The sequence below is a fragment of the Homo sapiens genome, chromosome 12 (genome assembly GCF_000001405.40).
Source record: "Homo sapiens chromosome 12, GRCh38.p14 Primary Assembly".
Classification (NCBI taxonomy): Eukaryota; Metazoa; Chordata; class Mammalia; order Primates; family Hominidae; genus Homo; species Homo sapiens.
In genome coordinates, this window is record NC_000012.12 from 123,665,663 (window position 1) to 123,680,232 (window position 14,570).

General features: G+C 45.6%; 1 protein-coding gene across 4 annotated transcripts in view; it reads left to right on the plus strand.

Moving 5' to 3' along the window:
- TCTN2 (tectonic family member 2) overlaps positions 5,451-14,570 on the plus strand; it is a 37,287-nt gene continuing 28,167 nt past the window's right edge. For 2 of the 4 annotated variants that reach the window (NM_024809.5, NM_001410989.1), the window contains exons 1-5: positions 5,451-5,660; positions 5,845-5,952; positions 6,394-6,470; positions 7,953-8,148; positions 13,527-13,627. In NM_024809.5, the coding sequence (NP_079085.2) occupies positions 5,579-5,660; positions 5,845-5,952; positions 6,394-6,470; positions 7,953-8,148; positions 13,527-13,627 (564 nt within the window). In that variant the 5' untranslated portion in view covers positions 5,451-5,578. The remainder of the gene's footprint in view (positions 5,661-5,844; positions 5,953-6,393; positions 6,471-7,952; positions 8,149-13,526; positions 13,628-14,570) is intronic. The other 2 variants (NM_001143850.3, XM_017019974.2) reach the window with 1 other exon arrangement.

The window sequence follows — 14,570 nt, forward strand, 5'->3', positions numbered from 1 at the left end:
TGTCTCAAAAAAAAAAAAAAAAAAAATCCAACTCTTAATTTCTTCATTGACCTACTGATCATTCAGCAGCATGCTGTTTAATTTCCTTGTGTTTGTATACTTTCCAAAGTTCCTCTTGTTATTGATTTCTGATTTTATTCCATTGTGATCAGAGAAGATGCTTGATCTGGGGCTGGGCATGGTGGCTCATGCCTGTAATCCCTGCACTTTGGGAAACCGGGTGGGTGGATCACCTGAGGTCAGGAGTTCAAGACCAGCCTGCCCAACATGGTGAAACCCTGTCTCTACTAAAAATATAAAGATTAGCTGGGCGTGGTGGTGCACACCTGTAATCCTAGCTACTCAGGAGGCTGAGGCAGGAGAGTCGCTTGAACCTGGGAGGCGGAGGTTGCAGTGAGCCAAGACCGTGCCATTGGACTCCAGCCTGGGGGACAAGAGTGAGACTCCATCTCAAGAAAAAAAAAAAAGAGAGAGATGCTTGTTCTTATTATTATTTTTTTTTTGTAAAGACTTGTGACCTAACATATGATCTATTCTTGACGATGATTCATGTGCTTAGAAGAATGTATTCTATAGCCATTAGATGAAATGTTCCATAAATATCTATTAGGTCCATTTGGTCTATAGTGCAAATTAGGTCTGATGTTTCCTTGTTGATTTTCTGTCTGGATAATCTGTCCAATGCTGAAAGTGGGAGGTTGAAGTCTCCAACTGTTATTGTACTGGGGTCTATCTCTTTCTTTAGCCCTAATAATATTTGCTTTATATATCTGAATGCTTCAGTATTGGCTGCATATATGTTTACAATAGTTATATTCTCTTGCTGAGCCTCTTATTATATAATGACCTTCTTTACCACTTTTTTTTTTTTTTTTTGAGACAGAGTCTCACTCTGTCACCCAGGATGGAGTGCAGTGGCATGATCTCAGCTCATTGCAACCTCCACCTCCCGGGTTCAAGTGATTCTCCCACCTCAGTCTCCCGAGTAGCTGCAATTACAGGCACCTGCCACCACGACCAGCTAATTTTTTTTTTTTTTTTTTTTTAGGCAGAGTCTCGCTCTGTCGCCCAGGCTGGAGTGCAGTGGTGTGTTCTCAGCTCACTGCAAGCTCTGCCTCCCGGGTTCACGCCATTCTCCTGCCTCAGCCTCCCAAGTAGCTGGGACTACAGGCACCTGCCACCATGCCCAGCTAATTTTTTTGTATTTTTAGTAAAGATGAGGTTTCACCATGTTAGCCAGGATGGTCTCAGTTTCCTGACCTCGTGATCCTCCCACCTCGGCCTCCCAAAGTGCTGGGATTACAGGCATGAGCCACCGAGCCCAGCCTAATATTTGTATTTTTAATAGAGATGGGTTTTCGCCATGTTGGCTAGGCTTGTCTTGAACTCCTGACCTCAGATGATCCACTCACCTTGGCCTCCCGAAGTGCTCGGATTGCAGGTGTGAGCCACTGCGCCTGGCCTCTTTTTTTTCTTTTTCTGTGGAGATAGCATCTTGCTGTATTGTCCAGGCTGGTCTTGAACTCCTGGGCTCAAGCAACTCCTGGGTTCCTCTTGCCTCGGCCTCCCAAAGTGTTGGGATTACAGGCATGAGCCATCACACCTAGTCTTAAAATCTATTTTATCTGATATAAGTATATAGCTACTTTTGCTCTTTTTTGGTTTCCATTAGAATATCTTTTTCCATCCCTTTATTTTTAGTCTATGTGTGTCTTTATAGGTGAAGAGTTTTTATAGGCAGCTAATCATTAGGTCTTTTTTTTTTAAATCTATTCAGCCACTCTATGTCTTTTGATTGGAGAGTTTAGTCCATTTACATTCAATGTTATTATTTATAAGTAAGGACTTACTACTGCCATTTTTAAATTTGTTTTCTGATCTTCCCTTCCTCCCTTCCTTCCATCTTCCTTTTTATGAAAGTGATTTTCTCTGGTGGTATGTTTTAATTTCTTGCTTTATATTTTTGTGTATCTGTTGTAGGCTTTTTGATATGAGTTTAGCATGAGGCTTGCAAATACCATCTTATAACCCATTATTTTAAACTGATGACAACTCTGATTGCAAAAACAAGCAGAGAAAACTAATACTCTAACTTCATCCCTCTGATTTTTAACTTTTTGTTTCTACAATATTTATATCTTATTATACTATGTCTTAAAAAGCTGTAGTTATTATTTTTGATAGGTTTGCCTTTTAGTCTACTACTCAAGATATGAATAGTTTACATATTTGTAGAGGTGCCACCTTGGTGATCTTGGGTACGATCTTGGAGAATTCCCTGGATCACCGTTAGCAGTGACGAGTCTGTACAGGTCTGCAGCAACTCGATTCTTGCCTCCTCAGAGGAAAGAATTTGGCCAAGCAGCATAAGGCAGAGTGAGAGACCAAGGCAAAGTTTAAAGCAGGGGTAAACGTTTATTAAAAAGTTTTAGAGCAGGAATGAAAGGAAGTAAAGTACACTTGGAAGAGGGCCAAGCGGGCGACTTGAGAGATTCAAGTGCCCCGTCCGACCCTTCACTGGGGGTTTCTATACATTAGCATGGTTCTGAGGTTTGTGCCCTCCCTTGATTTTTCCTTGGGGTGGGCTGTCTGCATGTCAGTGGCCTGCCAGCACTTGGGAGGGGCCGCATGTGCAGTGTGTTTACTGAAGTTGTGCGCATGCTCATTTGAGGCATTTTCCTTTACCAGTCGAGCCTTCCCAGAGGAAGGTTATATACCAGTTAAAATCTGCCATCTTGCCTCTTACTATGTATGCATGAGCCTGCTTGCCCAACTCCTGAGATCTTATCGGGAAGCTGCTGATCACCAGCTTCAAGTGTTTTCTATCTTTTTTTTTGAGATGAAGTCTCACTCTGTTGCCCAGGCTGGAGTGCAGTAGCGCGATCTCGGCTCACTGCAACATCCGACCCCTGGGTTCAAGCGATTCTCCTGCCTCAGCCTCCCGAGTAGCTGGGAGTACGGGCATGCGCCACCACGCCCAGATAATTTTTGTATTTTTGGGTAGAGATGGGTTTCTCTGTGTTGCCCAGGTTGGTCTTGAACTCCTGGCCTCAAGTGATCCATGTGCCTTTGCCACCCAAAGTGCAGGGATTACAGGCATAAGCCACCAAGCCCGGCCCAGAAATGTTTTCTTTTGGGAGGATTTATCTCTTAATCTTTACCGCTTGGCCTTGCCAACTTAATTTGCAGATTAATTCCCCCCAAAGACAGATGGGGAATAACAGAAATATTTAAGTGTTTGACAGCTTCCTCTTAGTAACGTTCTCCTAGGCTTCATTCCAAGATATCAAGAGAGGTAAACATTTTGCAGTCTTCCAGAGAGGAGCTGAGGTACACGGGAAAAGTTTCATGCTCATGTTACAACTGTAGTGACCCACAGTTTTTCAGGGAGTATAAGAAAAAGATAACACCCAGTGTCAGGCCCTTATAAAGCCTCAACTTTCAGAATCCTTTCACAATGTTAGATTTGCTGATCAATGAATATATAACTGAACATTAAGAGTAATAATGGGGCTGGGTACGGTGGCCCATACCTGTAATCCCAGCACTTTTAGAGGCCAAGGCAGGAGGATCACTTGAGCCCAGGAGTTTGAGACCAGCCTGGGCCACATGGTGAAACCCCGTCTCTATAAAAAATACAAAAATTAGCCGGGTGTGGTGGTGTATTGCCAGTTACTTGGGAGGCTGAGGTGGGAGGATCAGCTGAGCCCAGAAGTTTGAGGATGCAGTGAGCTATGATTGTGCCACTGCACCATTCCAGCCTGGGTGACAGAGTGAGACCCTGTCTCAAAAAGAAAAAAAAAAAAGACTAATAATGGCAAACATTTACTTGGCATTTACCGTCAGTCAGCCACAATGCTGAACACCATGATTGTCTCAGCTAAAGGATACACCACCTCTCTGATAGTTAACAAGTAACTGATCATTAACTGAGTGCTTACTGTATGCCAGCCATTGGTTTAACCTCATTAGATATGTTACCTCATTTCATCCTCACACAATCCCCAAGGAAGGATTATTATCATCCCTTTTTTATAGATGAGGAAGCTGAAACTTAGAGAGGTTGACTTGCCCAAAGTCACTTAACAGCTGAGAATATCTGTGGAGGGAAGGCGAAATCCCATGCCAGGCAGCCTGACCTCAGACCCTGCACTCTCAGTCCCCAAGCCGTGACAATATTTGAAATGTTCTGAGGCTACTGATATAAGAAAAAACAATTTTTTTCCAGACAGAATTTTGATTCTTTCACATCTGTCCTATTGCTGGGCAAAACCTCTTGTGTGTTCTGTGATTGGATCTGCTTTCAGAGTGCTGAGAGCTCTGTGCAGGGGAGAAAATCCTTCAAAAACCTAGGAGAATGATAATAAAAGCAATAGTGATAATAAATGATAATGATAAGAATTATAAAAATATAAATTTTATAAAATTATAACATATAAGTATAAAATTTACAAAATATATACTTATATAAAAGATAAATATATATAAGATAAAATATAAATACATATATATTTTATAAGATAAATAAATAAATAAATATATTTTTGAGACGGAGTCTGGCTCTGTCGCCCAGGTTTGAGTGCAGTGGTGCAATCGCGGCTCACTGCAACCTCCGCCTCCCAGATTCATACAATTCTCCTGCCTCAGCCTCCTGAGTAGCTGGGATAATAGGCGCCTGCCACCACGCCTGGCTAATTTTTTGTATTTTTAGTAGAGACGGGGTTTCACCATGTTGATCAGGCTGGTCTCAGACTCCTGACATTGTGATCCGCCCGCCTCGGCCTCCCAAATTGCTGGGATTACAGGCATGAGCCGCCAGACCCGGCCTATATGTATTTTATATATATCAAGTATGTATATCTGATATATATATATAAAACAAAGTATATCTATTTTGTAAATATATATTTATTTTATAAAAATATAAAATATAAATAATACATCATAAACGATAGTAAAGATAATAAACACAGCGCGGCAGCCCCATCCCCTTTTTCTACTCACCCCTAAAACAAATCCGTATAAAAATCAAGTTTATTAAGGAGCAAGTCCCACCCTTTTTATTTAGAAGCCAGTGTCTATAGGATCGCTCTTGGCTATTGTTGGATTAATTCCAGGGTAGGGGAAAACTCCAGTTTTTGAGCCGGACACGCACTCCTGCTTTTCAGGACCTTTTTAATTTTGATGTTTTCAACTTTTAGGCCCAGGGGTCCATGTACAGGTTGCTATATAGGTAAATTGCGTGTCACGGGGGTTGGGTGCACAGATTGTTTCGTCACCCAGGTACTAAGTGGAGCACCGGATAGGTAGTTTTTCAGCCCTCACTCTCCCCACCAGAGTCAAGCAGCAAAAATGCTAGGCCTTGTGGGCGGGGCCGGGGTGCCCGCTCTTGCCACTGGTCCAATCACAGCGCGGCGTTCCTCCTGGCCGGCCGCCGATTGGTGGTTGCCATAGCTCCGGGCGTTCGCTTGCAAGATGGCGGCGGCGGGGCAGTGGCTGCTGCGTTTTCGTGTCTGAGTCCTTCCTGGGTTCTAATGAGGGCGCGGTTCTGCTGTGCCCGGCCCGCGAGGTCTAAGGCATGGGCTTCCAGCCTCCGGCCGCTCTTCTTTTGAGGCTTTTCCTTCTGCAGGGCATCCTGAGGCTTCTGTGGGGGGACCTGGGTGTGTACGGCGCGGCAGTGACCTCGGTGGGCCGGGGCTGAGGGGACTGGGCGTTAAAAGGGCCAGACTTGGACTCCCCCGGGAGCTTCGGGAGTCGACAACGCCAAAGCAAGCCGCCACACACACCTTAGGCGGTGATTCTTCCACTGCTAACCCCTCCTTGTCCCCTTTCCTTCCCGCCTAGCTTTCATCCCTCCTTTTATCCGAATGTCCGGCCCTGCGGTCAGCGCGTCCCTGGTCGGAGACACCGAGGGTGTGACCGTGTCCCTGGCAGTGCTGCAGGACGAGGCGGGTAAAGTCCGGCCCTCTTTTGGGGAGGGTGGGGGTTGGACTGGATCCAGACCTCCCAAGGAGCCTGGAGAGGTGGCATCCTTGGGGCCCCCTGCCTCTGTTCTCTGCAAAGTCGCATGGGGAGAAAAGGATCGGGCGGCTGCTGTAGGCCAAAGAGGACAGACGGACAGGTTCGAAGAAAGCCTGAAATAATAATGGTTAGCATTCATTGAGCTAACATCGTGCATCATCCCATTTTCCTAGTAAGAACAGTAATATCTTTTCATCCCCTTTGACCAAGGAAGAAACAAGTTCAGAGAGGTTGTCACTGTCCCAGTGTCAAGCAGCTTGTAAAGGGCCCAATCTTAGGCTGTAATGTGAGTCCATCCTAGGCAGTCTGACTCAATGCACCCCCTGAGCTGCTGGACCTTGCTGCCTTTGCATGCTGGTCTTCTTTCTTTAGGAATATTGCCAATTCCGACGTGTGGAGTGCTGAACAATGAGACGGAAGACTGGAGCGTGACTGTGATCCCCGGTGCGGTAAGGCCAGAAGTAAACCTTCTCTGTAGCCTGTGAAGAGGCCCCCAGCTAGGGTTTCTGCAGTGCTCTCTTTATTTAACAAGGCATGGCTTTCTCCATGCTCTCAACAATCATGAAATTGTGGGCTGTTGGATCTGGTAGACACTTATCCAGCCCACGGGTTCCTTACCCTGGGGTTAGGAGTCCTTGGATGTATTTCAGTGGGTCTGTGAACTCTATGAAATTGTATGTAAAGTTCTGTGTGTATGTGCATTTTTCTGATGAGAGGGTCACCAGTTTCCTTTAGATCATCAAATGGGTCAGTGATTCAAAAAAGCTTTATGCCAGGCATCGTGGCTCACGCCTGTACTCATAGCGCTTTGGGAGATTGAGGCGGGAGGATTGCTTGAGCCCAGGAGTTCCAGACCAGCCTGTAACATAGCGAGACCTCGTCTCTACAAAACAATTAAAAAAAAAATTAGGTGGGTGGCGTACACCTACAGTCCCAGATACTTGGAGGGGGGTGGGGTAGCTGAGGCAAGAGGATTATTTGAGCCCAGGAGTTCAGGGCTGCAGAGAGCTATGATCGCACCACTGCACTTCATCCAGCCTGGGCAACAGAGCAAGACCCTGTCTCTTAAAAAAAAAGAAAAAGCTGGTCAGGCGCGGTGGCTCACGCCTGTAATCCTAGCACTTTGGGAGGCCGAGGAGGGCGGATCATCTGAGGTCAGGAGTTCAAGACCAGTCTGGCCAACATGGTGAAACCCATCTCTACTAAAAATACAAAAATTAGCTGGGCGTGATGGCGGGTGCCTGTAATCTCAGCTACTTTGGAGGCTGAGGCAGGAGAATCACTTGAACCCGGGAGGCAGAGATTGCAGTGAGCCGAGATCACGCCACTGCACTCCAGCTTGGGTGATGAGCGAGACTCCGTCTCAAAAAAAAAAGCTTCATAACCACTGATCTTGCCCAACTCTGAGCTTATGTGTAAGGATACTCAAACCTGGAGAGATTAAGCATCTTCTATTTAATAAGTGTTTATTGGATACCTAGTATATGCAACATCAATTCTGGAGAGAAAAGGACAGGAAAGACAAGCTCTGCTTGTACCCCAGGAGTGAACATGTACATGTCTAAAGTCATTCTGGGATAAACTGAGGATTGTTTTCATTGACTTTTTTTGTGTATTTACTCTTCCACTGATAGGATGATAAAGAAACTAAAAAGGTGTACAATAAACTGAGTTTATTTATCAGATCTGTGTTTAGCTTTCTCTAAGTATCCCGAAGTTGTTTGCTTTTATGTTAAGGAAGAAGAATCAGGGCTTGCATGTTACCATAGGTTTATGGGGGGGAACTGAAGATAACTGTGTCATCTCTGTATACATTTCCCTTTTATAAAATGAACGGAGGCTGATGTGTACTTTTATTGTGTTTTCCATTATGTATTCTTATAGACCCTGTTTTGAGTCACTTTAAAAATACAGCAATGTTTTCCTTTCAGAAGGTGTTGGAAGTGACAGTGAGGTGGAAGAGAGGTCTGGACTGGTGTTCCTCCAATGAGACAGATTCCTTCTCAGAGTCCCCCTGTATCCTCCAGACCCTTCTGGTTTCAGCATCTCATAATTCATCCTGTTCAGCACATCTACTCATTCAAGTGGAAATTTATGCCAACTCTTCTCTGACCCATAATGCCTCAGGCAAGTGAAGTCTTTGACTGTCAAAACTTTCATGTTGTTCCCAGCTACTTAGGAGGAAGAGGTAGGAGGATTGCTTGAGCCCGGGAGGTTGATGCTATAAATGAGCTGCCCGGGAGGTTAATGCTACAAATGAGCTGTGATCGCGCCACTGCGTTCCAGCCAGGGTGACAGAGTGGGACCCTGTCTCAAAAAAAACCAAAAACAAAAACAAAAAAAGAAAAATTTGTGTCAAGCTTACCTGTTTGATTATAAGTGTATGCCATGCAATTTGTAAAGTATACTTCACTTGAGTCTGTCTTGCTTTTCTAAACTTATTTTTCTTTTGTTTAGTTTTCTTTTAAGAAATTTCATTTTGTACTATTTTATTTAACATTTATTTGATCTTTCTCTACTGTTTGCATCTTTATAAGCTACCTTGAATCCTTTTTGGGAGAAGGTGAAATTTGTTTATGTACATTGATTCTCTCTCTTTTTTTTTTGAGATGGAGTCTAAGTCTGTCACCAGGCTGGAGTGCAGTGTTGTGATCTCGGCTCACTGCAACCTCCACTTCCTGGGCTTAAGCGATTCTCCTGCCTCAGCCTCCCGAGTAGCTGGGACTACAGGCTCACGCTACCACGCCCAGCTAATTTTGTACTTTTAGTAGAGATGGGGTTTCACCATGTTGGCTGGGATGGTCTTGATCTCCTGACCTTGTGATCCGCCTGCCTCGGCCTCCCAAAGTGCTGGGATTACAGGCGTGAGCCACTGTGCTCGGCACGTGCATTGATTGTCATGACTGCATCTTAAGAAGAAAAAAGGAAGGGTGGCCAGACGCAGTGGCTCCCACACTGTAAGTGCTTTGGGAGGCCAAGGCGGGGGAATTTCTTGAGCCCAGGAGTTCGAGACCAACCTGGGCAACACAGCAGATACTGTCTCTATAAAAAATTTTAAAAAGCTGGGCATGATGGTGCCTGCCTGTAGCCCTAGCTACTAGGGAGGCTGAGGTGGGAGGATCGCTTGAGCGTAGGAGTTTGAGGCTGATGAAGTTTACATCATTTCCAGCTTTTTTTAAAATTTATTTTTATTTTCATTTTTTTTAGAGACACGGTCTCACTCTGTTACCCAGGCTGGAGCTAGAGTGCAGGGGCACGATCCTGGCTTGCTGCAGCCTCAACCTTCCTGGTTCAGGCGATCCTCCTGCCACAGCCTCCATAGTAGCTGGGGCTACTGGCGTGCACCACCACACCTGGCTAGTTTTTACATTTTTTGTAGAGACAGGGTCTCACTATGTTAGCCAGGCTGGTTTTGAACTCCTGGGCCCAGGTGATCCTCCCACCATGGCTTCCTGAAGTACTGGGATTACAGGCAGGAGCCACTGCACCTGGTCTGTTCCCAGCTTTTGATGCTACAGCAAAGATCGTTATGCCCGTGTACATGAATCTTTGGACATGAGAAAATGGTTTTGTGTTCATCTCCGTCTCACATGATGTTAGTGTTCTTAAACCAAAAGAGCTTTCAACTAGATGTGCCGATGTAGAGGGCTCTGCAGTGATGAGTGCTACTGCCATGTCCCCTGTCTCCGGTGGCGAACTCTGACATCTCTTGCCTTTATGGCCACGTGGCATGGAGGGAGAAGCGTTCCAGACTTTAGTAGCAAAAGTCTGTTACCTGGAGACTCCTTTACTGCCGCTTCCCTTATTACATCCCTAACTGTGGTCCTCCTGGTGCTTCTGGAAGTTTAGGATGATAAGACAAGTTTTGACAGCTCCTTTCAGCAGACTACTGTGCCCTCAGTGTACTTGCATGGAAAGGCCTCCATGATGAATGAAGTGAAAAAAGCAAGTGCAGATGGCTGCCTACAGTGTGCTATCTTTTGCATAAAGGAGGCAGAAATGAAAACATTTGCATAAAGAAATTCTGGAAGGATGTTGGAGAAGCTAATAATGTGCTACCAAGTTGGAGGATGATGTGGGAACAGGAAAGGGCTGACAGTGAGGAATTTTTTAATATGCTTTTGATTTTTTGGAACCATGCAAATGTGTTACCCACTTAAAAGTTTTAAATTTTTCTATGGCTTAAAATTCAAAACAAAGCCAAAAAAACCGTATTCAATGATGAAAAAAAAAATCCCCCCAAAACAACAGAAGGGATTCATGATAGCTGTACCATTCAAAGCACTGACTTTTTTCCTTTGAGAAATATGCTTGAGGCCAGGTGGTGGCTCATGCCTGTAATCCCAACACTTTTAGAGGCTGAGGTGAGTGGGCCACTTGAGCCTAGGAGTTCAAGACCAGCCTGGGCAACATGGCAAAACCCTGTCTCTACAAACAAATACTACAATTAGCTGTGCGTGGTAGTCGGTGCCTGTAGCCCCAGCTATGAGGGAGGCTGAGGTCGGGGGATCGCTTGAGCCCAGGAGGTGGAGGCTGCAGTGAGCCAGGATTGCTCCATGTACTCCAGCCTGGTCGACAGAGCAAGACCTTGTCTCTAAAAAAAGACCGGGCGCGGTGGCTCACGCCTGTAATCCCAGCACTTTGGGAGGCTGAGGTGGGCGGATCACGAGGTCAGGAGATCGAGACCATTCTGGCTAACACGGTGAAACCCCGTCTCTACTAAAAATACAAAAAATTAGCCGGGTATGGTGGCGGGTGCCTGGAGTCCCAGCTACTCGAGAGGCTGAGGCAGGAGAATGGCGTGAACTCGGGAGGTGGAGCTTGCAGTGAGCCAAGGTCACACCACTGCACTCCAGCCTGGGTGACAGAGCGAGACTCCATCTAAAAAAAAAAAAAAAAAAAAAAAAAGGAAAATATGCTTCAGTATATTTAGGTAATATTTAATATTTTAGAATACCAAACTTAGAAAATTGAACATCTTTGTATATGAGTGATTGAGTTGTCAGCTCTGACCCCATGAAGGCATGAAAAATTTTTTACTCAGCCAGCCAGCGATTAAAACTAGAAAAAGAATGGAAGCACAGACAGGAGGTATGTGTCATACCCAGTAACAATGAAGCCAGCGAACAATGTAGAAAACATAAATCAACACACAAACATCTATTTGTATAACACATAGTAAAACCCTATTCTGAAGTGTCTCGTGGCTGGGGGTGGTGGCTCATGTACTATGCCTGTAATTCCAGCACTTTGGGAGGCCAAGATGGGAGGATCACTCGAGCCCAGGAGTTTGAGACCAGCATGGACAACATAGTGAGACCCTGTCTTTACAGAAAATATGAACGTTACCTGAGCATGATGGTGCACACCTGTGGTCCCAGCTACTTGAGAGGCTGAGGTGGGAGGATCACTTGAGCCCTGGGAGGTTGAGGCTGCAGTGAGCTGTGATTGTGCCATTTCACACTTCAGCCTGGGCAGCAGAGTGAGACCCTGTCTCAAAAAAAAATCAATAAAGTGCCTTGCTTGTGTCACATGGGTTTGATAACACTGAGGGTCAGACCCTTACCCGTGTAACGTGGTCTGCGATGTGGACCTTCTCCTTGTTCCGGATACCATTGATGTATCATTGACCTTCTGCTATGTTACAGGATAGAACAGATCGTTAGTTGTTCTTTAGATACTTCAGCTATTGTGTCATTACAGTTAACTGTTATGTGGGGTTTAAACAAATAGTTCCTGCATGGTTTTCTAACGTGTACCAAATGCAAAAGTAAAATTCAGCAGAATGAAACTTTTATCTGATAAATGATTGGAGAGAAATCCAAAGCATTACTGTCACTGGATTCTGAGTTAGGAGGCTGAAATGTCGTGTAACATATTCCTCTTCAAAGAGGAAAACAAGTTCGGAAACCTGTAATATCCTGAAGAGTTATAAACAACGGGCCCTGCCAATGTTTACCTTTTTAGCATTTCTCCTGAGCTGCTTTCTCTGGCCTTGTCCCATTCACGCCCGCCACCTTCTCCCCTGCACCACAGTGTTCCCCCTATTCATCCACCCCCTCTGTCTTCCACCTACAGCTCTCCAGTAGCCCCTCTTACCTGTACAAACTCTTTCTTTTTTTTTAAAGTATAGATGGGGTTTCTCCATGTTGGTCAGGCTGGTCTCGAACTCCTGACCTCAGGTGATTCCCCCGCCTTGGCCTCCCAAAGTGCTGGGATTACGGGCCTGAGCCACTGTGCCTGGCTACCTGTACAAACTCTTACGTGTGTTTCAGGCTCAGCGCATTCTCTCTCTCTGCAAGTCTTCCTGACGCCCAGCCTAAGCCACGTGCCCTCCCTGGGTTCCCATGGCAGATCCATTTCAGTGTTTACCCTTTATGGTCACATGATCTCTTTACCTGTCTCCTCCCTCTGAGAGTGCGAGCCCCTCAGGGAAGCTGTTGTGTCTCACTGTATCATCCCTGCATAACCCAGCCCCCCATACTCTCGTGGTCAGACCACATTTGTCCCACCTGCACTGTTGGGTACCACAGCCACGAACCATGTCTGGACACTGGACAGTTGAAAGGGGATGGGTCTTAATTGAGATGTGCTGTAACTGTTAAACAGCCACCAGTTTTTGAGGACTTAATGTGAAACAAAGAATGTGGAATAGCTCATTCATAATTTTTACATTGATTGCCTGTTGCAATGATATTATTTTGGATACGTTGGGTTCAGTAAAATATATTAAGTTAATTTTATCTGTTTCTTTTTTGTAGCCTGGGCTACTTTTTGTATTTTTATTAGAGACAGGGTTTCACTATGTTGGCCAGGCTGGTCTTGAACTCCTGACCTCAGGTGATCCACCCACCCTGGCCTCCCAAAGTGCTGGGTTTACAGGTGTGAGCCACCCCGCCCAGCCTAAAATCAGTACATTATGTATATACTAACTTGTGACTCTTAGTCAATTGATTATCTTCTAGATCAACTATGACTTCTTTGGTTCATTGTAACTGGCGTGTTTTCTTATGTTTGGGTTTTTGTTGGAGTGGTAGATGCAGGCCTCATATACTTCGTGGATTCCTTAATGTCAAATATTTGGTAATAATGATTTACAAAACAAGATAATTCAGCTTGCTTTTTTTTTTTTGACACGGAGTCTCACTGTGTCGCCCAGGTTGGAGTATAGTGGCACGATCTCGGCTCACTGCAAGCTCCGCCTCCCGGGTTCACACCATTCTCCTGTCTCAGCCTTCCAAGTAGCTGGGACTACAGGCGCCTGCCACCACGCCCAGCTAACTTTTTGTATTTTTAATAGAGACCGGGTTTCACCGTGTTAGCCAGAATGGTCTCGATCTCCTGACCTCATGATCCACCTGCCTTGGCCTCCCAAAATGCTGGGATTACAGGCGTGAGCCACCGCGCCTGGCCGATAATTCAGCTTTCTTTTGAATGTCAAAAATGTGACTGTGCTTTGTCGGAATGTTTCTTAGCTGAATTTTTCTGTTGTGTGTACTTTTCAGAGAACGTGACTGTCATTCCTAACCAGGTGTATCAGCCCCTTGGCCCTTGTCCTTGTAATTTAACAGCTGGAGCCTGTGATGTTCGCTGCTGCTGTGACCAGGTATGTTCTTTGGTTATTGGGCACAAAAGTTATGCTACCTGTGAGAACACCAGCAGTTCCACCAACAGCTTTTTTCATTTTTTATTTCTTGAGATAGGGTCTTGCTCTGTCACCCAGGCTGGAGTATGGTGATGCAATGATGGCTCACTGCAGCCTCGACCTCCCGGGCTCAAGTGATTCTCTTACCTCAGCCTCCTGAGTAGCTGGGACCACAGGCATGAACCATCACACCCAGCTAATTGTTTTGTATCTTTTGTAGAGATGGGATTTTGCCATGTTGCTCAGGCTGGTCTCAAATTCCTGGGATCAAACAGTCCTCCTACCTTGGCCTCCCAAAATGTTGGGATTACAGGTGTGAGCCACCATGCCTTGCCCCAACAGCTTTTTAAGGGATGGTCTTCCAAAACTGAGATTATGTTTTCTATTGCAAATTGTTTTCAAATTGAGTTTTTTTTTTTTTTTTTTTTTGAGATGGAGTCTCGCTCTGTCGCCCAGCCTGGAGTGCAGTGGCGTGATCTTGGCTCACTGCAAGCTCCGCCTCCCGGGTTCATGCCATTCTCCTGCCTCAGCCTCCTGAGTAGCTGGGACTACAGGCGCCCACCACCACGCCCAGCTAATTTTTTGTATTTTTAGTAGAGACGGGGTTTCACCGTGTTAGCCAGGATGGTCTTGATCTCCTGACCTCGTGATCCGCCCGCCTCGGCCTCCCAAAGTGCGGGGATTACAGGCGTGAGCCACCGCGCCCAGCCCAAATTGAGTATTTTTTTAAATTTAAAAATTTTGGTGGGCGCAGTGGCGCATACCTGTAATCCCAGCACTTTGGGTGGCCAAGGTGGGCGGATCACCTGAGGTCCGGAGTTTGAGACCAGCCTGACCAACATGGAGAAACCCCATCTCTACTAAAAATACAAAATTAGCCAGGCGTGTTGGTGGGCGCCTGTAA